The sequence below is a fragment of the Homo sapiens genome, chromosome 6 (genome assembly GCF_000001405.40).
Source record: "Homo sapiens chromosome 6, GRCh38.p14 Primary Assembly".
Taxonomy (NCBI): Eukaryota; Metazoa; Chordata; class Mammalia; order Primates; family Hominidae; genus Homo; species Homo sapiens.
The window spans coordinates 21,484,716-21,512,441 of record NC_000006.12 but is presented as its reverse complement, the minus strand read 5'-3'; the positions used below and the strand labels follow the sequence as shown (position 1 = coordinate 21,512,441).

Below are 27,726 nucleotides of genomic sequence, written 5' to 3'. Positions count from 1 at the left end.
TTTTTTTGCATTACCCAGCTCCGTCTTTGTAAACCAGTCTTTGGAAGACACTATGCATGCTTTTGACAAAGGGCTCATCACTCCCAGTAGGAGTTACAAAGTTAGAGATGGCAGTGTAAAACCTGGAAACAAAGGAGCTGGTTGGAAACGGGCAGTAGGCTGGTGAGGGAAAGGAGGAAAGGAGACCAGGGCTTTGGAGAAGTTATTTGAGGAGGTAGAAAATGGGCTTCAGGTGATGCGCCTTCCCCCTGGGGTTCAGTACATGGGAAACGCACCACCCTTTTTTACAGAGGGCTTTAGACCAGCACAAGTGTTCCTCGTTTTCTTTCCTTTGTACCTGTGTCTTTATTTATTTATTTATTTATTTATTTATTTATTTATTTTTGAGACAAGATCTTGCTCCCAGGCTGGAGTGCAGTGGTGTGATCTCAGCTCACTGCAGCCTTGACCTCTCGAGCTCAAGAAATCCTCCTGCCTCAGCCTCCAAAGTAGCTGGGACTATGGGTACATGCCCCCACACCTGGCTAATTGTACATTTTTGTGTGTAGAGGTGGGGCTTCACCACGTTGGCCAGGCTGGTCTTGAACTCCTGAGCTCAAGTGATCTGCCTGCCTTGGCCTCCCAAAGTGCTGGGACTATGGGCTTGAGCTACTGTGCCCAGCCGTGCCTGCCTCTTTAGACACATCAAAATCCGCCTCTGTGATTTTTGCTTATGGCCATATAGAGGCAATTTGAGGTTCACCAACCACAAGGGAAGTAGCTCCCTGCCTTCATGAGGCTCTGATACACTATAAACCTTCCATTCAGAACCTGTGATGGAGTCGAGTGTGTAGCCCTAGCTACTTGGGAGGTCAAGGGAAGAGGATCACTTGAGCCCAGGAGTTTGAGACCAGCTTGAGCAATGCGGTAAGACCCCATCTCTAAAAAAGAAGAAGCTGTGATGGATATTCCACTAGATATCTTTCTTTGCTAAATCATCATATTTGGCTTTTAGAAGATTGATGGAACAGAGAGGGCCCACTTTTGACCACAGTCGTGTTTATGCTCAAGAAGAATGAACGCTCTTTAGAATTTCATGCCCCAGATACCAGTGAGAAAGGGGCTGTGACAGAAGATGCTTCATTTCATTATCCTTCCTTGGAGTCTCATAATTGAAAAATCTTTTATTAAAAGTTTTGCAAGGCCAGGTGTGGTGGCTCATGCCTGTAATGCCAGCACTTTGGGAGGCCGAGGCAGGAGGATCACCTGAGGTCAGGAGTTTGAGACCAGCCTGGTCAACATGGTGAAACCCCATTTCTACTAAAAATACAAAAATTAGCCTGGGGTGCTGGTGAGCTCCTGTAATCCCAGCTACTCGGGAGGCTGAGACAGGAGAATTGCTCAAACTTGGGAGGCAGAGGTTGTAGTGAGCTGAGATTGCACCAATGTACTCCAGCCTGGGTGACAGAGCAAGACGCTGTCTCAAAAAAAAAAAAAAAAAAGTTTTGTAAAGTTGAGCTGAAGGGTTCTCCAACTCCACCTTTAACGTTCAGTCCCTTCTGTATTGCAAACTAGGATCATCATCTTTTTAAAATATATTACCTTCCAATTGTCAAGCTGCTGTTACATGTGTTATCTCATTTGTTTCTCACAACCCTGAACTTGGACCATACAGAGCTAAACCACTAAGAGCTGTCCTGATGGTGAGCAAGTAGATCAGACACGCAGGGCCTCCTGACTGCAGATGGGTGTTTTTCCTCACCTCTCTGAGGATATTCCTGCCAGGATGTGTTGAATTCCCAATCTGAGGCTAGTCCGCCAAGGTGATTAACAGAAGCATGGATTAGCTATCCCTAGAACTAAAGTCTTCTGAAATCATATTTTGAAGATGAGCTGGTGAGGAAGGAGAGGGACTGAGTGAAGGAAATTTTATACCAGCCTCACTGAAAGGCAAGGTCCTGCTTTGAATTTTTGTACCAGGAGTGTCACCTGTTTTGGCAGAGTAACCTTAAATGTTCATGAATTGGGCCCGGTGCAGTGGCTTTTGCCTATAATCCCAGCACTTTGGGAGGCCGAGGTGGGCGGATCACCTGAGATCAGGAGTTTGAGACCAGCCTGGCCAACATGGTGAAACCCCATCTCTACTAAAAATACAAAAAAAAAAAAAAAATTAGCCAGGCATGGTGGTGCATGCCTGTAATCCCAGCTACTTGGGAGGCTGAGACAAGAGAATCGCTTGAACCTGGGAGGCAGAGGTTGCAGTAAGCCGAGATTGAGGCACTGCACTCCAGCCTGGACGATAGAGTGACTGTGTCTCAAAAAAAAAAAAAATTCATGAATTGTAGTCTCAAAATGCTAGGCCTTTGTGATAAAGTTGGTTGACAGGAAGAAGGCAGCAGTGAGACACTGTGTAAGGCACATGGAATATGGAGTGGAACAGAGCCGACAGTCAGTTCCTAGCTTTGCCACAGACTTGCTGTGTGACCTGGAGAGTTGTTTATTCTCCCTGGGGCTTAGTTTTTTACATTTTTAAAATGTAGCTAATCACAACTCCCTTGTAATGTTGTGAGGGTTAGCAATAGCATGTATTTCCAACACAGAACACCAGCTCATAAGTAGATGCTCAATAAAAATCTGTTGAATGGAGCTGGGTGTGGTGTCTCACACCTGTCATCCCAATACTTTGGGAGGCCAAGGAGGAAGACTCGCTTGAGGCCAGGTGTTTGAGACCAGCCTAGGGAACACAGTAAGAGCCCATCTCTAAAAAATTTAAAAGAAAAATAGCCGGGTGTGGTGGCAGGTACCTGTAGTTTCAGCTACTCAGGAGGCTGAGATGGGAGGATCGCTTCAACCCATGAGTTTACAGTTACAGTGAGCTGTGAATTCACCACTACACTCCAGCCTGGGTGACACAGGGAGACCCTGCCTCAAAAAAAAAAAAAAAAATCTGTTGAATGGATAAATGAATTAGGGATAACTTATGGTGCACTTCACATAGAGCCTGGTGCAAGGTGAAAACAAGAGCTTTTGCTTATCAAAACTCTGCAGAGGCAATAGACGCTAATAGGATCCCTAAGCGATTGTGGGAATGTAATAAAAATAAGTATGTGTGAGGGCCAGGTGCGGCAGCTCGCACCTATAATCTCAGCACTTTGGGAGGCCAAGGCGGGCGGATCATGAGGTCAGGAGTTCGAGACCAGCCTGGCCAACATGGTGAAACCCCGAGACTCCGTCTCAAAAAAAAAAAAAAAAAAGTATGTGTGAAAGAGATCATTTGTTTGGCTATTGTGAAACCAATCCCAGTTCTCATTCTAGTTGTTAAAAAGTCTAGGAGGTAAGAAAGTCTCTTTTAGATCTTCTTTAAACGTGGTGAAGAAAAGGGATTTTTACCAGTCTTTCTCATGCTTTCTGGCTAACAAGTCCAGGCTGGCTGGACTCTTTGGTGGGTTTGTAAAGTTCAGGCCACTAGTACACCAAAATTGCACCACATTTGCAAACCTCGTGTGAGTTCACAATGCGGCATTGTCTTTCCTCCCCTGGGGCATGAAGGATTGTCTGGAAAAGGTTAGCTGTTGCCATTAGGGAACCTGGTATAGCCAAAACCGAGGTGAAGCAGAAAGAAACCATGGGCTCTCAACAGGTTTGCCAAGTGATTTGCAAGTGTATTTACTTAAAAATAAGCAGAACACACAACCTTTTATAAAATTATGGCTAGAGAAGTTTTGTGACTCTCCTGTAAAATGCTCCCATCATATTCAAGTAATTGATCAACGTTTGGCTTTATCCAAATGCATTTCAATAAACTAAACAAATCTTGATTTCCTGATGTTTTACTTGAACTTCATTTTTCGAGTACTTTATTTTTTCATGACATACTTGAAACCAATTTTGAATAGGAGAAACAGCATTAGGCTTAGAACCACTAAACCAAAATGCCTTTGGAAGTTTTCCAATGAAGCGGATAGAGGGGGAGAAGGGCTGAAGGATGGAGGCGCGGCCATCTTGTATTTTTTGGTATTTCACAGTGCTTTGAGAGGTCGGGAACATATTGCTTTGAAGTAGTGAATCAAATGATTATAGATCTAATGAAATCATCTGGTCAGTCTTCAGGATTCAGGAAACCGAATGTCTAAATCTTCTAAAACCCATTCTTTCACAACTGGAAGCTCTTCAAAGATAGAGGCATCACTGTCTACACTGTCTGCCACAGTAGGCTGACCTCAGGGTAAATACTTTTTTTCTTGTGTCCAACTGAAACTTCTCTTGTCTTCCAAATGAGATATGAAAAATAAATGATCCGTCTTCTTGTGGCAGACAAATAGACTGATGGACCCAAAATCCATTCCTAATTGCTTTTTTCTTTCATGCCTCTACTATAGAAACTGGGAAAGTTAAGTCCTCACTTTCCCAGGCTTCACTGTAGCAGGAAGTGATGATGTGAGACCTTAGACTGACGTTCAGTGGATGACTACCTACTGGGAGGGGTAGTGAGGAAGGGCCTGAATAAGCCTTTTGTTTTCCTGATGAAACAGGACCAATATGTCTGGCAATGCTGCTCTTCCTTTCCTCCTGTCTCAAATGCAGACATGGTACCTGAAGCTACAGCAACATCTTGGAATCATGAGAGAAAGGCCAAGGGAATCAGAGATATTGGCCTTCATCTTTCAGCTACTGAACCACTGCCAGCAACCAGTAACCTCCAACCTTCTAAGACAAATCTACCCTTATTCCTTTAGGCCACTATCTTCTGATTTTCTATTATTTGCAGTTGACCTCAATCACATCTGAAGTACATCACCTAAAGATTTCACGTGACTGGAGAGACATAAATCCACTCAACTTCCCAAGGCAGGCTGTGTTCTCTCACTGTACGTTTATAAATTCCTCTTAGCCCCAATCAAATCAGGCTCATGAAGGGATTGGTTGCTTTGTTGCTTTTCTCCATTTATCCCTGGTCAGCTTCCCCTCAGCCTCCCATTCCTAAGTCTGCTCCATTCTTTTTTTTTGAGACAGAGTCTCTGACTCCAGAAGCTCCTTTATAACCACATCTTCATTTATACAGAAGTTTTATGGGTTGTGTGTGTGTGTGTGTGTGTTTGAGACAGGGTCTCACTCTGTCACCCAGGCTGGAGTGCAATGGCATGATCGCAGCTCACTGCAGCCTCGACCTGGTCAAAATGCCCAGCTAATTTCTTAAATTTTTTGTAGAGATGGGGTCCCACTGTGTTGCCCAGGCTGGTCTCAAACTCCTGGACTCAAGCAATCTTCCCACCTCAGCCTCCCAAGGTGTTGGGATTACAGGCGTGAGCCACTGTGCCTGGCCAACAAATTTTTTTTAAAAATAAGACTCAATTTATCTTAATCAGAATAAGCAAAATTATCCCTAGAAATTAAGTAGTTCCTAAATAAAATGATTGAATTAAATTATCCTTAAGGTACCTTCTAGCTTCAAATTTATTACAATGAATGTTTCAGACTTCTGCTTGATGAAAGCACATCTTTCCAAATAATCAAGTGGGCTGCGTGTGGTGGCTTACACCTGTAATCCTAGCACTTTGGGAAGCTGAGGCGGGCAGATTGCTTGAGTCCAGGAGTTTGAGACCAGCCTGAGCAACATGGCGAAACCCTATCTCTTCAAAAAATTTAAAAATTAGCCTAGTGTGCTGGTGCACATATGTAGTCCCAGTTACGTGGGAGACTTAGGTGGGAGGACCACTTGAGCCCAAGAGTTCAAGGCTGCAGTGAGCTATGATGGCACCACTGCACCCCAGCCTGGGTGACAGGGCAAGACTCTGTTTCTAAAAAAAAAAAAAAAAAAAGAAAAAAAGAAAAAAGAAAGAAGAAAAGAAAGGGAAAAAACAGTACATTGGCAGTGGGGAAGCCTAGCACACATTATCTTAAGCAGTTGAACTGAACACCACCTGTAACGGGGCACATTGGAGGGGCATTCTATCAAGTCAGCCTCTGGTACACTTGAAAAGTGGGTCAGCTCATGGAAGCCAAGAAAAGGTTGAGGAACAGTTTCTAACAAAAGAAAAGTGAAGAGCTGTGATCGCTAAATGCAATGTGTAATTCTGGACTGCATCCTTTTGCTATAGGGCATGTTATAACCACAACTGGAGAAACTTGAATAGGCTCTGAGGATTCGAGGGTAACGCAATCAGTGTTAATGTTCTGACTTGGATGGTTGTATTGTGGTCTAGTAGGAGAATGTTCCTTCATAGGAGGAAAAATCTACACTAAAGTATTCTGGGTGATGGGATATCTGGTCGCCAGCATATCCTCAAACAGTTCAGAAAAGTGCTTTGTACTGTAGCTCATTACTTTGAAAGTTAAAGATGAAGCATTGTTTATAATGAGACTGAAACCAAACCCAATAAATCCTAAGAGCAAAACCAACTTTTTCCCATTATCAAAAAGCTGACTGCAAAATATTGGTTGTAGAGTTTCTACATGTATAATCTCAGCTTTGTTACTGGATACAAGTATATACATAGCCTACTTGACAGACACTTACTAGACATCTAGTTAGTGCAAGACAAGCTACGAAAAGGATTTTTAAAAAATGAGTCATGGCCAGGTACAGTGGCTCATGCCTATAATCCCAGCACTTTGGGAGGCTGAGGCAGTAAGATCGCTTGAGGCCAAGAGTCCGAGGTTGTAGTAAGCTATGATCGTGCCACTGCACACCAGCCTGGGTGACTGCAAAGAGCTCGCAACCTGGTTACCTATGCATGACCTTGACCATAATCCCTCCATGTGATTCTAGTGGACAAAGCATTTGTTTAAACTTTTCCCTAAAACAACCAACTACAGGAAGGAAAGGAAATTCACTCAGGGTCCAGAGTTGGCTTAATAGTTCAAAGGAGAGCAGACACATTCATACCAAATTGTAGATTCCTAGAACTTGATTTTCGTGGCATACATCTGTATATGCATGATATATCTTACATCTTTATAATATCTACCATATTGGGGTGTGTGTGTGTGTGTGTGTGTGTGTGTGTGTGTGTGTGTGTGGAGAGAGAGAGAGAGACTTGATAAAATCCCTCTGGTGACTCTTATCTCTTACCTTCACTGTGGAATGATGATACATACATTGGAATTAGACTTTGCTAAATCAGGAACTGTTTATTTTATTTTATTCTATTTTTTTGAGACAGGGTCTCACTCTGTTGCCCCCGCTGGAGTACAGTGGCGTGATCTTGGCTCACTGAAACCTTCACCTCCCGGGTTCAAGCAATTCTTGTGCCTCAACCTCCCAGGTAGCTGAAACCACAGGTGTGCGCCATCATGCCCAGCTAATTTTTGTATTTTTAGTAGAGAGGAAATTTCACCATGTTGACCAGGCTGGTCTCAGACTCCTGGTCTCAAGTGATCCACCTACCTTGGCCTCTAGTACACCAAATAACAGGCGTGAGCCACTGTGCCCAGCCAGAACTGTTTATCTTTAATAGCAATGGTCACTTCAAAAATTCCAGCTGTCCAACGGTGCCATTGAGCCAGGTGAATTACACTTCAAAGAAGAATATGGGCTTCCTCAAATAGCGTCTTGCTACTTAGCAACTCGGCAAGGCACGTCCATTGCTCATTCAACTGAGCTTTTGTTTACACTTGTGAAAGCCAAGTCCAGATGCTAGCAGATCCCTCATCAAAAATGTCCAAAAGCCCCATGTACATTTCTTCCCTCACCAAAGTCATATATTAGGCATAGCAATATACTTCTTATTAATATTAAATTAGTGTGCATAAAACAGAAACCCCTAAGGAGGTTTTCAGCTTAAATATGCAGGAAGAAATCATTTTTCATTTTTGAGTTTAGACTTTAATAAGACCTGTATGTAACTTAGTTATGGTTGCATAACCCAGATCTTGAGGGACAATCATTCATGTGATTGGCTAAAGCAAGTCTTCCTTTCATTTTGGTAAAACCACATTCTTATTTGTGTGTTTATTTTGTACTCTATGTCAGTGGTCATGAGTTCTTTAACTTTATTTATTTGTTTAACAAATGTCTCTAAGGGCTTACTGCCTGGCGTTAAATGAGGCACTGAGATCCATCAGTTGATACGATTGCCAGGGTCCCTACCCTGAAAGAGCATCCCTCTGTCCTGCATATAATAACCTTGATGTTGGACTGCAAGACCATATGCAAATATGGGGAAACTTGGGAGTTTCCCCAAAACAAATTATGGTATGAAATAGTGAAAATTTTATTGAAGATCATTGAAGTTAAGACTGATAAACACTTGCCCTGGGTGGGTTACAACCATCTTTTCTTTTCTTTTCTTTTCTTTTGATGAAGTCTTGCTCTGTTGCCAGGCTGGAATGCAGTGGCGTGATCTCGGCTCACTGCAACCTCCGCCTCGCAGGTTCAAGTGATTCTCTTGCCTCAGCCTCCTGAGTAGCTGGGATTACAGGCACGTGCCACCACACCCAGCTAATTTTTTGTATTTTAGCAGAGACGGGGTTTCACCATGTTGGCCAGGCTGGTCTCGATCTCCTGAGCTCATAATCTGCCCGACTCGGCCTCCCAAAGCGTTGGGATTACAGGCGTGAGCCAACGCGCCTGGCCCATCTTTTCTAGAAAAACAGAGTGGATAGCCTTTTGAGAGCTTTTGAAATTCTGTTTTGTTGTTGTTGTTAAATGTACATGCGACATAAAAATTTTGCCTGTGCTTCACGCATAACGGTCACCCTTGTTGACCAATTATCTGGTTTGTTTTCTCCAGAAGTTGGGGTGGATTTTCCCCATTCCATCCACATTCTTCCATTTGGTTTCCTTGACACTGAAGGGAAATGTCTATCAGACACTTGATTCAGACAGAATTCAAGTGAGACTGAGGTTAGAGTGCATAGTAAGAAAGGGAAATGAATTACCTGGTCCATGTGGTGGGGTTTGGCTTCATGTGAATATGTACAAACTAATAGAACCAGGAGGGAACCATCTATATCAGTTCTGGGAGGCAGCAAATTTAAGGGAGAGAACCTAGGATTTGCCATCACACTGGCCAATTACACGTGGTCTTGGGCAAGTTAGTGGAACTCTGTGAATCTTACCTGTGAAATGTGGGTAGTGCTACCTATCATATAGTGTTGATATGAGAATTAAAATGAGAGGCCGGGTGTGGTGGCTCATACCTGTAATCTCAGCACTTTGGGAGGCCAAGGCAGGTGGATCACTTGGGGTCAGGGGTTTGAGACCAGCCTGGTCAACATGGTGAAACCCTGTCTCTACTAAAAATACAAAAATTAGCTGGGTGTGATGGTAGGTGCCTGTAATCCCAGCTACTTGAAAGGCTGAGGCAGGAGAATCGCTTGAACCCAGGAGGCGGAGGTTGCAGTGAGCCAAGATCGTGCTACTGTACTCCAGCCTAGGAGATAGAGTGAGACTCCATCTCAAAAAAAAAAAAAGAGGTAACTTGAATTAGTGCTGCAGGTTTGTGTATAAAGGGCCTTACCACGCACAGAACAATTTGAGATGACTTCCATGTGTCAGTCTACCTAAGGTGGGTGTGTTCTGAATTACTCCATTTTCTTACATGTTAACATAGTTAATAATGGTTATTCAGTTGTTGCATTAGTAAGGACAACCTAGGTTATACTGCAGTAACAAGTAGCCCCTAAATTTCAGTGGCTTTCCAAGAAACAAACAAAAAAATTACAGTTATTATTATTTTTTTAGTTAAGCAAAGTCCATAGCAGCCCCACATGACTCTTCAAGGAAGCTCTCCTCCTTAGGATGGTTCAGCAAGCCCTTCTTTATCAAAAAAGGCTTCCATGATGCTGAGGCAGAAGAGAGGGTTGTGTAACTGAGCACTGCAATTAGGTGCTTTGACTCAGATATGAAATGCCATTTCCACTCACATTTCACTGGTAAAAGCAAAACATATGGCCGGGCCTAAACTCAGGGAGCTGACGAAACTTTATCCCTTGTGTTTCCAAAAACAGAACTGGAAATATCGACAAACAGCACTGAAGGCTCCTGGTCTACCACAGGAGGTGATCTCTAGTGAAGAAGGTGAGGCAAGGACTAAAAGTTATTAGAATTCTAAAATTTTCAAGCTGCATAAATACTTTAGTGATCACTCCAGTTATTTCTGAAACTGATACTCTGTTTTAAAATTACAAAGTTGCTCCTTATATATTACAACTAGTATCCTTTCTATCCCATTTTTCATCTTTTCTGCACTTTTGTGACTCAGAAAAGTGGCAATGAATTGCACCAAGCACATAGTAAGTGCTTACAACTCATTTGCTGGTTGATTAACACCATCACAAAGAGCCCACATTTGTAAAGGTAACTGACTGATACATTGTGTTTCATGTCCAAAGTCACAAGGCAGTAAGAGAGCCAGAAAGAGACTTTCATGCTTACTGCCATTAGCCACAAGAGTACTTTTATTACTTCCTTGAGAAAAGTTGGCCCCAGAAGAGTTATTCATGTTTGTTGGCAGTTTCCAAAGGTGATTACCGCTTTTAGCCTTGGACTATACTCATGCACAGAATATGAGAGGCAGTAATGGTGCAAAACACTGTCAGACACCATTAAAGAAAATATCCCAACTGCAGGACACTTCACAGTGTCTGCCCAAAGAGAGAAAGCACAAAGCTGCCACTCATCTTTCAAAACTCAGCTCACATGTTATCTTCTCTGCAAAGTTATTGCTAATCCCCAATGACAATTAATGGTTTCTATAGCTTTATGTTCTTGTGCTTAATAGTCAAATTTATATTAATAACATGTCTATCTTCTTTACTGGATTTTGATCTCCCTGAAGATGCAGATCTGGTATTATGCAGACTTTTTACCCCTAACACCTAACTGAGAGACTTCTTAGGGAAAAGGACAAAATAAATCTTTGCTGAATTGAATAGAAGCCCTGCATTCACTTTAAAAACTCAAACTATAGTATTTGTCTCACCTCTTTGCTGTGTTTTAAAATTACAAACCAATATCTGTATGCAAAGAAGGAAGATGGACAGGCTGTGTTTGTAGTCTCAGTCCAATGCACGTATCCTGCCAAAAGAGAAAATTTGATTCCATTTTGGAGCTGAGGCCTCAGGTCCAATTTAATTTGATCCCCATATGACCAGGCTGATTAATTGTCAGGTCTAGCCTTTCTTCACAGTAAACCTCAATCCCTCGTAATTTGCCATGAAACTGGTGGGAGTTGGCTGTTTCAGGCATGAATAGCGTAGGTCTTGTTCAAACCTCCCCAGGCCTTATTTAGGCAAGGTGGGAACCGGCTGGCTGCCCTGCAGAGGAGCAGGTGTAATGAGGATTAGGTCACATGGTGGGAAGGGGGCTCAGTGGGCAGGCAGCTGGTGAAATCCCAGGTGTGTGTGAGTTGGCAGGGGCACAAAGAGAGGAGAGCTGCAAACAGCTCAAAGTCCCTGGGCTGTGCAGCTGCTTGTTTGGCACTTGCCTAGGACCCACCTGTAGTGTTGATGGGCACAACCCACTCCTAGGAGCAAGGAAACATGAAAGATCTTCTGTAAGCTGCAGGGGCCCCACCCCTTCCAGGGAAGGCTGGAGGGCCCAAGCATGCCCACGGGCTACTGGGCAACCAGCTCCCTGCACTTTGCAATGCTTAAGACAGGGCAGGGCTGGTTATTCTTTTTCACAAGACAGTCCTTGGAGGACTAAGACAAAAATACGTATTATCTTTCTATTCAGAGGTCTATTCCCAAGTATACCTAGAAAATAAGTGAAAAACAAAAACAAAACCCTGAGCTGGAGAGTATGTCAACAGGCAGAGATACTCAGGGAAAAAACAAAAAACAGGCTCAAGGCCAAGAGGCAAAAATAAATGATGATCCCTTCTCCTGGGCGGTGGGTGGGGAGCTCGTGTAAACAAACTCAGCATAGCAAGCCCTTCTTAATCTGTTTCTGTCCCTCTGCTAATCACTTCTGTGGTTTTTGCAAGACAGAATCTAGTCTCAGTGCTGGGGCTAGTGTTACAGATTTAGTGGCTGTGAATTATGGAACTTCTCTTGATCTCCAAGGACAAAAGGAAACTGCTGGCCACAAATCCAAACAACTGTTGTTCATGCAGGTGAAACAGCAATCTCCTTCAAGTGTACAGGCTGGAAAAGAGTCTAGATCTCTTATCTTCACACTAAGGCCAGCCTCCAGAAAAATTACGAAGCAGGTTAAAGCCATTCCTGACTATTTACTGCTCTAATGTGGCTTCTCCCATCTCTGCTTTTAAGTACAAATAGAACCTGCTGATTTGCTTACACGTGGCATCAATCCCCCTGTTCTTCCCACTAACAGAGTCCCAGTCTGGGGGCAAGAGAACAATGACAATGTGCACAGTTAACACATCCTCACCTATCCAGACTCTGTGCATCTGGGCATGGCTATGTGACTTTTACTCTCAGGGAGACATAAGCAGAGGATTCTGGGAAAGATTTCTTGATATAGGCACCACCCTGGATTTTCCCTTTTTTTTCTAGCTGGAATGCAGATGAGGTATCTAAAATACATCTTCCAGCCGACCATGGTGACTCACGCCTGTACTCCCAGCACTTTGGGAGGCCGAGGTGGGCGGATCACCTGAGGTCAGGAGTTTGAGACCAGCCTGGCCAACATGGTGAAACCCTGTCTCTACTAAAAATACAAAAATTAGCCGGGCGTGGTGGCATGCTCCTGCAATCCCAGCTACTCGGGAGGCTAAGGCAGGAGAATCGCTTGAACCCGGGAGACAGAGGTTGCAGTGAGCTGAGATCAGGCCACTGCATGCCAGCCTGGGTGGCACAGCAAGACTCCTTCTTAAAAAACAAACAAATAAAATAAAATAAAATACATCTTGCTTCCAGAGATGAAAGCCGTATGCTCAAGATGGCAAAGCAGGGGAGCATAAAGAGCCTGGATGCTCATTGGCATTGCTGGTACTATGGTGCCAGCCCTGACTGCCTAACCCTGGATCTTTTGCTATGGAGGATAACCCTGTAGCTCTCAAACCCGAGTAGGCACATGAGTCACCTGGGGGTCTCATAAAAACACAGATTCATGGGCCCTTCCTGAGAGTGTCTGATTCCGAAGGTCTGGGGTGGGGTCCTGAGCCTTGTATTCCTAACAAATTTCCAGAGGACGCTGCTGCCACTGGTTGGAGACCACGCTTTGGGAACCACTTGCATAACTGAATAGCCACTTGTTGAAGCCGCTGTTACTTGGGTTTTCATACACTCACAGTGGAATTCTGTTCCAAAGGATACACTGCCCTCTAAACCCTCAAGAGCTATACACCCCCAGAAAGGGGCTGAAAACTCATTTAACCACAAGGCATAAATACGCAATGAGGCTTACAATCTATTTGGATTCTGATCAGAAAGGAATCATTAAGTCAAAGAAAAGAATTTCTGCTTTTAACTTGGAGGCATCGTTGGAGCCGAATGGAGAAGACACGCAGAGCAGGGAAGCTTAGCCGGAACTTTTTTTTTTTTTTTTTTTTTTGAGACGGAGTCTTGCTCTGTCGCCCAGGCTGGAGTGCAGTGGCGTGATCTTGGCTCACTGCAAGTTCCGCCTCCCGGGTTCACGCCATTCTCCTGCCTCAGCCTCCCGAGTAGCTGGGACCACAGGCGCCCGTCACCACGGCTGGCTAATTTTTTGTATTTTTAGTAGAGACAGGGTTTCGCCGTGTTAGCCAGGATAGGATGGTTTCGATCTCCTAACCTCGTGATCCGCCCGCCTCGGCCTCCCAAAGTGCTGGGATTACAGGCGTGAGCCACCGCACCCGGCCACTTTAGCCGGAACTTCTGATCTCATACCAGAGACGCATCACCTCTTCAACAACTAACGAGGGGATTTCTCCTGGCTCTTTCCCTCTTCCTAACAATGGAACCTGGGGCAAATTCTTTAACCCCTCTGAACCTCAGTTTTCTCATTTGTAAAATTGGAATGATAAGACTTATCACACGGGCTTGCTGTAAGGCATAAGGGATGTCAGGGAGTGAGGCAACTTGAGCATCCATCACTGGGAGAGTAAAATGCGTGGGTGAATGTCACAGAGTGTTACTTAGTGATCAGCTGCAAAAGTGTAGATGCACAAATAGCAACACGGATGGAAGCTAAAAACACAGTGCTTATTGAAAAAAGATGTAGAATCGATCATTTTATGAAATAATTAAAAAATGGATGCATACCAAAAAAAGTACAGTACGCACAATATTCACAAAGATATATTAAAATACATTCGAATGGTTATCTATGAGGCAAAGAGAATGAAAGCAGGGTATGGATATATATCTTTTTTTGAAAAAAAATGAATGAGTGTCCATCAGATTGACAAAAATCAAAGTGTCTGACAACATCAAATTTAAATGAAAACATGGAGGAGAAGGAGCTGCCGTATTCTGTTGATAGGAGAGTAATTTGGTACAAGCCTGTGTTACAGACCACCAATGTTCCCACTACCCAATTCCCTTCTTCTAGAAAGTGAAGCCCTGATTCTTTAACTGGCCACATGGCTGCTTGATGCGAGCACCATTCTGGATTGGAATAACTCCAATTCCCAGCCTCCTCTGAAGCTAGGTGTGGGCATGTGAATATGCCACTTGTGAATATGCCAACTTGTGGCCAATGGTCTATGATCAGAAGTGTCATTTGAAATTTCCAGGGAGTATCCTTAAATGGAGGGATCTCAGTAAATGGCTGGGAGCAAAGGTGGATGTCAGAGAGAAATGGAAATGATCCACAATGTCTAAAATCTCCCTTTTAGCTGACCCATCCCAAAATAGGGCAGCAAGTGACCCAAAACGTTTACACTTTCCTTAAAGAAAGAAAAATGACAGCCCTGGAATACATAAAATGATCACACAGTATATAACTTGGCATTAGAATCAATATACCCTAAGAGGAGAAAACTGTCCAAAGGGGACAGCCATAAACAAATTTAAAGTGGAGAGATCTGAAGCTTAAGCATGGTGGTAAAAGAGGTTGTTATAATTACTTCCTAAACCTCAGCTTTAGCCTGGAGATATGTTATAGCCTGGAGTGGGTGATCACTTAAAGAAAAAGATGATGGGCCATGCATGGTGGCTTATGCTTGTAATCCCAGCACTTTGGAAGGCCGAGGCAGGTGGATCACCTGAGGTCAGGAGTTCGAGACCAGCCTGGCCAACGTGGTGAAACTGTCTCTACTAAAAACACAGAAATTTGCCAGGCATGGTGGCAGGTGCCTGTAATCCCAGCTACTCAGGAGGCTGAGGCAGGGGAATCACTTGAACCCGGGAGGCGGAGGTTGTGGTGAGCCGAGATTGCGCCATTGCCCTCCAACCTGGGCAACAAGAGCAAAACTCCCTCTCAAACAAACAAACAAACAAACAAAAAAAAAGAAAAAGATTATGAATTCAATTTGTTAATATTTTTCTTTCCTAAAAAAGAAGACATTATGGTTTTTAGTCAGCTGACTTGTTTCAATAACAGTTTATCTACCACTAAAAACCAGAGCCCCACATCTGTTCCTAATAAAAACCTATAATCAGCAATGCCCATTGCCTTTCAAAACTTATTTTCTTCATCCCTAAACTATGCACAGACCTGGCCAAAGCTTGTTTCTGTTGTCACCAAGATATAATGGCATTGCATTTATTCCAGGATAAATAAATCAGCAGCGATTCCAAGTAGAATCTGTGTCAGCCACTGAAGCTATTGAAAATTTGAGCCTTAACTACAGATTGACATTTTCATGTGTTAAAATGCTGAAGTATGCCCGTTTTCTGTTTTTCAGTTTATAACATTCAAACCTTTGTGATACTTTGTTTCAGGTCACAAGGCTTTAAAGACATTTGATAATAAAAACAGTTCACATTTTCAGTAAAAACAGATTCTGGAAGCGGCAACCTTAAGACAGCAACCCTTTCCACAAGAAACATTTATTTCTAAAAGTTATGGACTTTGAATTGAGCCTGGAAGCAGCAGACCAGGCCACTACCTAGTAAAGGGCTTTAACTGGAACTGGCCTGCAGCCTGCAGGTTCCTGGAGAAGGGGTTTAGAAGTGGTCTGCCGTCTCAATGACAGGCTGTCTTGTTGCTGTGTGAGAACCAGCCGGAGCTGTTTAGGAACAGCCTTTATGAAAGCACAGTATATAATTCTGGGTGAAAGTTTAGGAACACTTTTCCTGGCAGTGACAAACCCTGCATATTTTTCTTTTTCTTCCTCTGAGAACAGTTGATCCTTAATGTTTTTTCAGCTTTGAGCCATTTTCAAAGAGAAGTACACGTTGGAAGCTTCAGCAAACTTGTTTGTCCTAAAGCTACGGCAAAGCAGGATAAGTGTGCAAAGCAATGTGCAAAGGACCAGGAGACTCAGTATGCACGGTGCACGGTGAGGCAGGTTGTCGGGAGGAGCGGCCTCAAGACCTCTTACCCTTAGAAACAGCTATGTGTAGCTCACTGCTCAGGAATTAGAACAGGAACTACTCTCTTTCATGATTCTAAGGTGGGCACCAAACATTGGTCACTTCCCACAACATTATCTCCTACTTCTATTGCTTACATCTAATAGGCATCTTCAGGCTACAACCAAATCATTAAAGGATGCTGAACACAACACATTCCCTTTTGAAGGCGGGACATTATTTTGTTAACATTCATATTTTTCCAATCAGAGAGTGTCACAAATGGAAGGTTTATGAGGGTGTGGGGACCCTCATAAATGGGGGACTAAAATGGATGGAAGGAATATGGAAAGGTCATAATTTGAGATCTTAAGAGTAAAACAGGGTGGGGCATGGTGGCTCATGCCTGTAATCCCAGCACTTTGGGAGGCCAAGGTGAGCAGATTACCTAAGGTCAGGAGTTGGAGACCAGCCTGGCCAACATATAGTGAAACCCTGTCTCTGCTAAAAAGATACAAAAATTAGCTGGGTGTGGTGGTGCACGCCTGTAGTCCTAGCTACTTGGGAAGCTGAGGCAGGAGAATTGCTTGAACCCAGGAGGCAGAGGTTGTAGTGAGCCAAGATCGCTCCACTGCACTCCAGCCTGGGCAACAGAGTGAGACTTCATCTCAAAAAAAAAAAAAAGAAAAGAAAAGTAAAGCAGGATGACTTTAGGCTTTAGGATAATTTTTTTCTCTATGAGGAAACTCTTAATTTGTGATATAAAAGAAAAATATTGATTTTCCAAGAAGGAAGTGACCTTAACTCCAGTAGGGGTGGGCTGGTTTATGCTCCATCAGTGAGCTTATGAGTAAAGAAAGAAAGAAGTGGGTTTATGTACAGAAGTCTATAGCAGATTTTCCTAGAAAGCCTTGAGAGAATTGGTGTTATGTTTCTAGAAGGCAATTCTTACTCTCCCAAGGAGTAAGTAAGGGGTGAATAAGAATTGCCCCCTGATAAACAATGAGTGAACTTAGGAGCCAGAAACCAAGAATGGACTAGCATATGAAGGGATCGTCTAAACACAATGAGAATGAATTGCAAGGTGTCCTATAAGGTCACAGACTAGGAACTTCTGGCACATGGACGACAACTCCAGAAACATCTGTGTCGGGTGCAGGAGTCAAAGGGTATTATTTTGCACGAACGCCTAGAAGGAGAAGGGGAAGAGGGGAGCAAGAAGAGAATGCAAGTTCTCTACTCTCCCACCAGCTGGAGGGTTTGCCTATAAGCTGTGTAATTGGAAAGTGCAGGCCCAGGCCCAAAAGTAGTTATGGTCACCTAAAGACTTTGTGAGTCCAAGTGAAATGAGAAAAGTTCCCTCGTCCCCATCTCCTGGCGTGTGATGGGGCTGCGGCTCAGGTGCTCCGCTGCTCAAAACCCCTAGGGGAGCAGGCAGACAGGCAGGTCGTGGGGAGCATGGGCTCTGACCCCATGGCAGCGTCTAGGGGTGAATGTTTACAGCTCTTGAAGCCCCAGTGGGCGTGTGTTGCAGGGTGCTCTTTTAGATTTGCCATCTGTAGGCGGCTTGTGTTAATCAGCTTAATTACACCCTCTGCCTTACAGCAAGGAAAGAGGGTTTGCTGTATCCCGGGGTTCTTGCCTTGGTGTACCAGAAAAATCGGATCACACGTGAGCTTGGAGAACGAGTGCAAGGTTTTTGTTTGTTTGTTTGTTTGTTTTTGAGACGGAGTGTCTCGCTTTGTGGCCAGGCTGGAGTGCAGTGGTGCGATCTCGACTCACTGCAAGCTCCGCCTCCCGTGTTCAAGCGATTCTCCTGCCTCAGCCTCCTGAGTAGCTGGGTCTACAGGCACGCGCCACCACGCCCAGCTAATTTGTGTATTTTTAGGAGAGACGGGGTTTCACTATGTTGGCCAGGAAGGTCTCGATTTCTTGACCTCGTTATCCGCCCGCCTCGGCCTCCCAAAGTGCTGGGATTATAGGCATGAGTCACCGCGCCCGGCTGAGAGCAAGGTTTTGTTGAGTGGTGGAAGTAGCTCTCTGCAGATGGATGGGGAGCCAGAAGGGGTGTGGAGTGAGAAGGTGGTTTTCCCTTGGAGTCGGGCGGCACAGCTCTCCCCTGACTGCCCTCGGCTGAACTTTGCGTCGTCCCGCGGTAGATGACCTGCGGGCGTCTGCTGGTGTCTGTCAGTGTGTTCTTCTGCCGGTGTCTTCTGCTGGTGTGTTCCTCTCAACGTCCAGCTGCTTGTGTTTGTCCCCTCTAGTGTTTCAGGGTTTTTACAGGCACAGGATAGGGGGTATGGCGGGCCAGGGTGGTGTTGGAAAATGCAACATTTAGGCGGGAAAACAGAAATGCCTGTTCTCACATAGGTCCGTGAGTATAGGCCCGAGGGTGGAGACCTAGCCAGGGACCCCGCCTTTCTCTACCCAGCATTTCCCTGCCCCGCTCCGGTATCACTAGCAGAAACAGCTTGCTGCTTTCCTCCCCTCGCGCCTCTAGAGCCCATGAAGGAGCTCTGGTGCTGGGCAGAGACTCCCAGTGGTTCAGGGGCTAGGCATAGTGGGGACCTTTCTCAGGGGCACTGACAAGTGCCTTAGCGAGTTTGGCATGGAAGAACATGAACAGAAAGCTGGGGCGGGGGGGATGCGTAGAGTTCCTGCAATTATGCGGGGTGGAGGGGGGCTGAGAGTTATTATGATTTATATTTCATTAAATATGATTTCATCTGTATCCAAAGGAAGGTGAGGCTTCAAACATTCAGTTTATGCATACAAAAAGCCAAGGAACACAGTTTGCATCTCCAGCCAGGTCAATGGCCAATGATAAGAGGATGCAGAAGACTCAGTTTCTCAGGAGCACAACCAGAGTCTGGGCAGCACCTCTGATCTTCTGCGGGGTGCTGCGAGAACCATGTGGCCCTCGGGAAAGCATGAGCTGGGTGCCCTTGGCTGAGGATAGTCAAGAATGGCCATAGGCTAGGCGTGATGGCTCATGCCTAGAATCCCAGCACTTTGGGAGGCCAAGGTGGGAGGATCACTCGAGGTCAAAAGTTTGAGACCAGACGGGGCAACATGGTGAAAACCTGTCTGTACTAAAAATACAAAGTTAGCTGGGCGTGGTGGTGGCACCTGTAGTCCCAGCTACTCGGGAGGCTTAAGTGGAAGAATTACTTGAACCTGGGAGGCAGAGGTTGCAGTGAGCTGAGATTGTGCCACTGCACTCCAGTGTGGGTGACAGAGCGAGACTCCATCTCAAAAAAAAATAAAAAAATAAAGCCACAAATGGTCCTCACTTTATTCTTTGTTCAGGCATTCATTGTTCACCCCACGTTCATTGAACACCTGCTATGTGCCGGTCACACACCATTCTAAGTGCTGCAGATACAGGAATGAACAAATAGGATGTCAATCCCTTCCCTTGTGGTGCTTTCATTTTTAAAGGCCAACAGGTAGGCTGGGTGTGATGGCTTATACCTGTAATCCAAGCACTTTGGGAGGCCGAGGCGGGTGGATCACTTGAGGTCAGGAGTTCGAGACCAGCCTGGCCAACATGGTGAAACCTTGTCTCTACTAAAAATACAAAAATTAGCTGGGCGTGGTGGCAGGCACCTGTAATCTCAGCTACTCGGGAGGCTGAGGCAGGAGAATTGCTTGATCCCTGGAGGCAGAGGTTGTAGTGAGCCAATATCGCGCCACTGCACTCCAGCTGGGCAACAGAGTGAGACTCCATCTCAAAAAAAAAAAAAACCCAACAGATAATGATATACACTTTCAAACTACATAGTGTTAAAAAAAACTTTTAGATAGAGTTTGTCTCTCAAATAAATTTAAGAGTTTATTTGAGCAAAGAAGGATTCCTAAGTTAGGCAGCCCTCAGAGCCAGAAGTTCAGACAGCTCAGCCCAGCAGCAGGAGCTGAACTCAGAAGCAGAGCAGAGCAATCACCTGGTTGGCTACAGCTAGGTGTTTGCCTTATTTGGACATGGTGTGATGAGTTGGCTGCTTGTGATTGGCTGAAACTTGGCTATTTGTTACTATATATATATATATAAATATAAAATATATACTATTCACTTATGTTTCAGCTGGTTTACATACTAAGTTGGTTGAGGGGGCGGTTGTTACATAGGAACACAAAGTACGAAGATAGGCTCCGGTAAATGGCCTCCTGTTTATCTTGCTTGAACAATAGTACATAAGACAGTTATGGGTGCTAAGAATAAATGTAAAGCACAGAAGAGGATGGAAAGAGTGTTAGGGGAGGATGGGAGTTATATGTGTAATTTTAGATGGGATGGTCAGGGAAGGTGTCACTTGGGAGGGTGGCAGTTGAATGAAGACTGGAAGATGCCATGGAAAGAGCTCTGCAGAGATGTGCAGAACAGCATTTCAGGCAGGGGGCACAGCATGTGCAAAGACCAGAGGCAGGGGCGTGCTGGCCATGCTGGAGGGACCGTGAGGAGGCCACTGAGGCTGGAATGGGGTCAGAAAGAAGGAGGAGGCATGAGGCCTGAGAGGTGCCAAAAGACCCTATCATGCAGAGACAGCACCATTTTAATCACTGGTTTTTACTAAGATGTGAAAGGATGAGAAGGTGTCTAGCAGAGAAGTAAAATGATCTGATTTGAGCTTCCTTCTTGGAAGGGAGAGATTTTGCCTTTCAATCAGAACTACTCTTTCCCCTGCAAAGAGAGGCTCATTAGGAAAAAGTCATGATGTGGCAAGATCCTTTGCTTTTGGGGAACTTGAATTTTTAGAGCATCTGAACACTTCTCCTACCTTCTCCCTCAGTAGAAAACCACCTGCAATGAAAGTTCCCTGAAGACAGAACAGGTTTTGAATGGTGCTCTATATGGAGTCTTGAATGCTGGGAGGAACGATGTTGACCAAGTCAACCAAAACACGAGGAGAAGCCAGTGGAAACAAAGTCAACAAGCTGCTCTGGGGTTTTGCCTCAATATCACCCTTCCAACTTCAGACCCAAGCAGCACAGAGGGTACCACTAAGAGGATACAGACAATCACTCTTGCTAAGTATTGGACCAAATAGCTGGAGGCCCACACCTGGCATCTGAGGAGACCATGATGAGAAGGAACAAGAGGGCACTTGAATAAGTGCAGTCCAGCCTGAGACTCAAGCTACAAGACTCAAGTTGCGTTTTTTCTTTAAATGTGAATGACATCTCTGGGCCCCCTCTAAATCACCCTATGAGGTCAGGGAAAGCCTCTTGTAAATCAGTGGATTTATTCTTTAGGCCTCTAATCAGGGTTTTCTGTAGAATTTTGCAGGACCCACAGTTTGACCTAGGATTGTCGGCTCCACTGGGCAGGAAAGAGGGGCCGGTGGGGATACCCTGAGTCCTCCCACCCTATTCTTCCTCCATAGTGACTGGCTGCGGTCCAGCAAACTGCAGGAGACCCTCTGTAAAGACCTTTGGACTCTTGCCTTCAAATAGAAGCCCATGACAGTAGGGAATATTTGCATTTTAAAAATTTCTTTTTTAAGGCTGGGCATGGTGGCTCATGCCTGTAATACCAGCACTTTGGAAAGCAGGGGAATCACTTGAGGCCAGGAGTTCATGACCAGCCTGAGCAACATAGAAAAGAGAGAGAGAGAGAGAAAAAAAAAACCCAGCCAAGAAAAAAAATTCATTTTTATTAGAAAAGCAAACCATTTGGGGATGTTGTATGGCTGATACAAAAACAAACAACAAAAAAATTAGACTGTTAGAATTTAACTAATGTCTGTTACCAGAAAGGTTGAAAATTGTCTTTATTGAAGGGGGAGTTGAAGTTTAAAAGGTAACTTTCACCTACAGGTTGAGATTTGCATGCAGAATTTCCAGAATGCTGAATATCAGCACGGATCACTGCAAAGAAGTTGGAACTCATCTCACATGAACTTCTCAGGTGAAAAGGGACTTGACAACTGAGACTTTTCTAATAAGTGACAAAAATTATGTGGGTAATAATTTGACCTTTTTTTGTGTTAAAGTCTCTATTGAAATAGAATGCACAAATTAATGCTCTTAGGAGACCTGCTTAGAGGAAAAACAGAATGGGGATCATGAACCCTATTAACTCACATGCCTCAAGCCTCTAATGAAAAATTCCTGAGCGAAGGGGGATGAGTAGGATTCTCCGACTGTAGGGAAACTTTGTGAAGCTCTCAAGCATGTGGTTTATAAAGTTGCATAACACAGTCCTCAAATGATTTTTTTTTTTTTTTGAGATGGAGTCTCACTCTGTCGCCCAGGCTAGAGTGCAATGGTGCAATCTTGGCTCACTGCAAGCTCCGCCTCCTGGGTTCAAGTGATTCTCCTGCCTCAGCCTCCTGAGTAGCTGGGACTACAGGCACCCGCCACCATGCCCAGCTAAGTTTTGTATTTTTAGTAGAGACGGGGGTTTCACCATGTTGGACAGGATGGTCTCGATCTCTTGACCTAGTGATCCGCCTGCCTTGGCCTCCCAAAGTGCTGGGATTACAGATGTGAGCCACCGTGCCCGGCCTCAACTGATTTTATAACTGAGATTTATGTCTCTAACAAAATAAGATACATAGCAAAAGAATGACTCTGCCAGCCCTTTCTGGAGAGGGAATTATAAGTCCTCGAAAGATATTGTTTATTTTGCCGAGTTATCTATTTTTTTCTGTAAATTCTGCACTCCGCCCCAGATTGGAACTCCAAATCTATTGTTCCATCAAATCAGTTACCCCACAGAATGAAGAATGCGGTACCCACTGTACTTAAAATTCATTGTTATCTGTTAAGAACCCAATTCAATGAGAATCACGGAGATTAAGAGGGTCTAGGTAGTTAAGGTGGAAACAGTGTGTAGAAAAGAGATCCACACACTGATTATTTTCTAATAAAACTGTTCATTCTATCAGAAAGTGGAGGGAATTAAATATAAACAGACACATTTGTTTAAACCCAGCTTCATTACTATTCTATAGGTTGCTTGAAACCTATTCTGACATCAGTTATTAAATAAATTGTGATATTTTCACAGACAGGAAACAGCTGAGCTGAAAGTATCCATATCTGCAGGATTATTCTGTATTTAATTTTAATGTTCAAAGCTTGAGGAAATTATATGGCTATAGAACATAGTCACAGGTTTCATGAGCTAGAAAGGCTAGCCAACAAAATGACTATCTGTCTGAAGTGTAACAGAGTTTTAAAAAATTAAAATAGAAAATAACAATGATGACCACAATTTATTGTGTACCTACTACGTGACTTTGTATGTAGCATACCTGTGCATCTTTACATATCTTTATACATACGGACTTTATGTGGAGTTTATTTCTAATACTTCCAATGATCCTGCAAAGGGGTGTTACTATTCCCATGTTACAGATGAGGAAATGGAAACTTAGGGAAGTTATCCAAGGTTAAATCAAGATTTATCCAAGGTTTAAAAAAGTGTAGAGTCAAGATTCAAACCTGAATCTTTCTGGGCCTGGTGGCTCACTTTGGAGGTCCGAGGCAGACAGATCACTTGAGGTCAGGAGTTTGAGACCAGCCTGGCCAACATAGTGAAACCTCATCTCTACTAAAAATACAAAAATTAGCCATGTGTGGTGGTGCACTCTTGTAATCCCAGCTACTTGGGAGACTGAGGTAGGAGAATCGCTTGAACTCGGGAGATGGAGGTTGCAGTGAGCCGAGATCGTGCCACTGCTTACTAACCTGGGAAACAGAGCGAGACTCTGTCTCAAAAAAAAAAAAAAAGATTCAAACCTAAATCTAGCTCCTAACCCTGGGTACTTTCCACCAATGGACTCTCTCAATAATACAAAAATTAGGTAGATATCAAGTGGAAATTCAAAGACCCTAGTTTTCATAAATAAAATCTCAAATCCACAATTAACAGACATAAATTCATTTCAAATGTATTTGTGTGCATGCATCTTCTAATCAACTTCTAATCAACTTTCTTGATTGAATTCAAATTTAATTGACTTTAAAATAAAAATGGAATCGGTTTTATTTCCTTTGCATTCATGGAGCACCTGCTATGGTTCGGGCACTGCTTCAGACACCAGGCACGTGAAGGCCACGCTGGTTTCAGTGTCTGTCATTAACTCTTTAACAGCTGCAATTGTGGGCACTATAGCAGATTTTCAAATATATTAATTTAAAAGGACTGATAATACAGCTATAAAGTCTTATTAGTTGGTTCAGCTTACCTCTTCTAAATGCACATGACAATTAACCAATAATGCACAAAAGCATTTTATATTGCATCTTTGTTTTTATACTTCTGTTATAAATTAAAAGTGGAAAAAATGTTGGATTTGAGGCCAGCTCTGCAGTATACCTGCATTGTGACTTTGAGCTTCTCTGAGCCTCAGTTTTTTCATGTGTAGACATGGGGATGCTAGGCAGGCATGGTGGCATTCACCTCTAGTCCCAGCTACTCGGGAGGCTGAGGCAGGAGGATGCCTTGAGCCCAGGAGTTTGAGGCTACAGGAAGCCATGATTGCACCACTGCACTCCCGCCTAGGCAAGAGAGTGCAACCCCATCTAAAAAAAAATTTTTTTTTTTTTTTAATGAGGATGATGCTAACCATCTTACAGAGCTACTATTTGGACTCTTCAGCACAATGTTCAAGAACCCCCATAATCTCCTTTCCAGTCCCATCTATGGCTCTTTCTGTTACTCTAAATAGCCTGGGATCCCACCTGTTTGAACAATTTGCTTTTTCCAACAGACTAAATACTTCCCACACCTCCATAGCTCTATTTGGTTCCTTATCCAGGGCTGCCAGCTCTCCGGATTGCCCACGGAAATCTCCTGTTTCGAAACCTCCCTGACAGTTCCAGTGTGAACTAAGTGCTCCCTCCTCAGCACTTCCCCAGCACCCAGCCCATATTTCCAGTACAGAGTTTCACTTTTCCTTCAATTATTGATTATCACCGGAACCATGTCTTAGTCATCTCTGTTTCCCTCACAGTACTCAATGGTGCTCATGGAGAATGGCCTTGATCAATGCTGAACTAGTGAAGGAATCTGTTCTCACTTGGCCTGGAGAAAGGGCGGGGGCCACAGGCCCCCTTCCTCTACCGACTCCATTCAATAATTAGTTCAGTTGTCAAAAAGACACATATAAAAAGCAATTTCAGAGCATCTTCCAGTGAGGATGTGATTCTCCGCCATGTAATAAAATCCCTTGCAAGACTCCAATAAAGAAATGATTTTGAGGGAAGATAAGCGGCGATCTGTTTGGATGGTGCACTCCTCTCCTGAAAAGGCTTTTGAGTATACACATCCCCAAATATACACGAATATGAGTTCAGTTAGCTCCCCATATACATATACCTGTTAGTTTATAAAATATGTATAATGCCCTACTATATTAACATATATTGTAAAGTATATAGAACTATACATATATAGAAGCTATAATTTTTTTAATGAAGAGTTTTAATATTTTCTTTCTGCACCCCAGGAAACGGCCTTGCACAAAGAAAACCTAATCTTGGCTGATCAGCTATACTTTCTGGTAGAAGAAAGGAAATCATATTTTACTTTCCCTAGATTATTCCCTAATGTTGACTATTTCCTCCCTCTCTTCAGGTTCTCTTACAAGACCACCAACATTCTTCAAACATCAGTGAAATAAAACAGGAGGAGGGTTTCGAGCTCTGGATCCTCAGCCTGGAAATGTCACAATTTAATCCCAAAGGTTTGCTGTGAAGTTGTAAGCATGACAGTGTGAAACTCGACAGATTATTCTTGAATTCTTTGTTTGTTTTCGTTGTGACCCGACTCTCATAAAATTTATGTTTTCTTCCAAACCCCCAGGGTGTGTGGTCATATGACTTAAATAGAGAAAAACATTGTCAAAACAGTATTGAGGAGTTATCACTTTTACATTGTTTTAATTAAAGAAAAAGCCTTTCTATCCAGGTCTAATACCATCATTTTTATGGGCATGTTAAAGTATCTAATCTAATACTGTAGTTAGTAGTAGTATTTAGTATTTTTAGTATTATTATAGTTTTATCTGTATCTTAAAGAAAAAGTCAATAAATATGAAAACAGAGTTTGTTTTGGGAATGTATGCAAGTGCCCTCCATGTTAAAATCATTTCAATTTTGTGTGCATGCACACGTGCACACACACACACACACACACACACACGGAGAAGATCAGTGAATATCCTATTCACAAATGTTACAAGGATTATCTCAGGGTGGTGGGATGAAGATTATTTTTGTTTTCTTCTTTGTGTATGTTTGTAATTTCTCGAGCATTCTATAATGGCCAGATTTTTGTTGTTGTTGTTTAACAACAGTATGCGTACCAACAATTATAAATCATTTACCTAGATTATTATATTGTAAGCTTCCAAATAGAAATTTTTAAAATACCTTTTGGAGTCATTGGCATCTAGAAGAAAACTATATATTATTTCTAAGTTCTATGCTGCATTTTAATTATAACACAATTTTTTTTAGAAGGAATCTCACTTTGTCCCCCAGGCTGGAGTACAGTGGCGCGATCTTGTCTCACAGCAACCTCCGCCTCCCTGGTTCAAGCAATTCTCCCTGCCTCAGCCTCCCCAGTAGCTGGGATTACAGGGGTTTGACCATGTTGGCCAGGCTGGTCTTGAACTCCTGACCTTAGGTGATCCACCCACTTCAGTCTCCCAAAGTGCTGGGATTACAGGCGTGAGCCACCGCGCCTGGCATAATACAGTTTTTAATGTATTTTGGCTTCATGTAAGAAAATTGCATTTTAGGCTGGACGCGATGGCTCACGCCTGTAATCCCAGCAATTTGGGAGGCTGAAGCGGGCGGATCACCTGAGGTCAGGAGTTCGAGACCAGCCTGGCCAACATGGCGAAACCCTGTCTCTACTAAAAATAGAAAAAATGAGCAGAGCGTGATGGTGGGTGCCTGTAATCCCAGCTACTCGGTAGGCTGAGGCAGAATTGTTTGACTCCAGGAGGCAGAGGTTGCAGTGAGCAGAGATGGCGCCACTGCACTCCAGCCTGGGCAAGAGAGTGAGACTCAGTCTCAAGAAAAAAAAAAGAAAAAGAAAAATTGCATATTGCATTTTAAATCAAATGCTTTATAAAAGACCTCCACTTGCCTAGATTTTAGACACATTTTGTCTTTTAGACACAAAGAGTGACAGAGGGTGGTTGCAGAGGAGCTTGCAAAATAAAGGAACCAAGGTAGAGCTGATGAGAGGCAGAAAGGAAGATCCTAAACTGGGAGGTGTGTCTGTCTGGACAAGATTAAGATTCGAGTAAACCCCAATTGAAACATATGATATTCCCTGTAAGGAAAACCGTGGCTGAGTGCCTCTGTGGACAGCATAAGCCTGCCTAAAATGTCTTCTATTGGGCCGGGCTTGGTGGCTCGCACCTATAATCCCAGCAC

General features: G+C 43.7%; 1 long non-coding RNA gene across 1 annotated transcript, besides 1 other annotated feature; it reads left to right on the top strand.

Moving 5' to 3' along the window:
- Nucleotides 1-549: 549 nt before the first annotated feature.
- LINC00581 (long intergenic non-protein coding RNA 581) lies at nucleotides 550-26,381 on the top strand. The gene is made up of 4 exons (NR_103790.1): nucleotides 550-906; nucleotides 9,931-10,000; nucleotides 22,144-22,234; nucleotides 25,913-26,381. It is a non-coding gene; the product is annotated as a long intergenic non-protein coding RNA 581 (long non-coding RNA).
- Nucleotides 2,418-2,618: a silencer, noted in NCBI's record as "peak5728 fragment used in MPRA reporter construct". NCBI's record gives its function as "represses an SCP1 promoter by STARR-seq MPRAs in K562 erythroleukemia cells {active_cell/tissue: K562}" and the evidence as "EXISTENCE:reporter gene assay evidence [ECO:0000049][PMID:32103011]".
- Nucleotides 26,382-27,726: the final 1,345 nt, after the last annotated feature.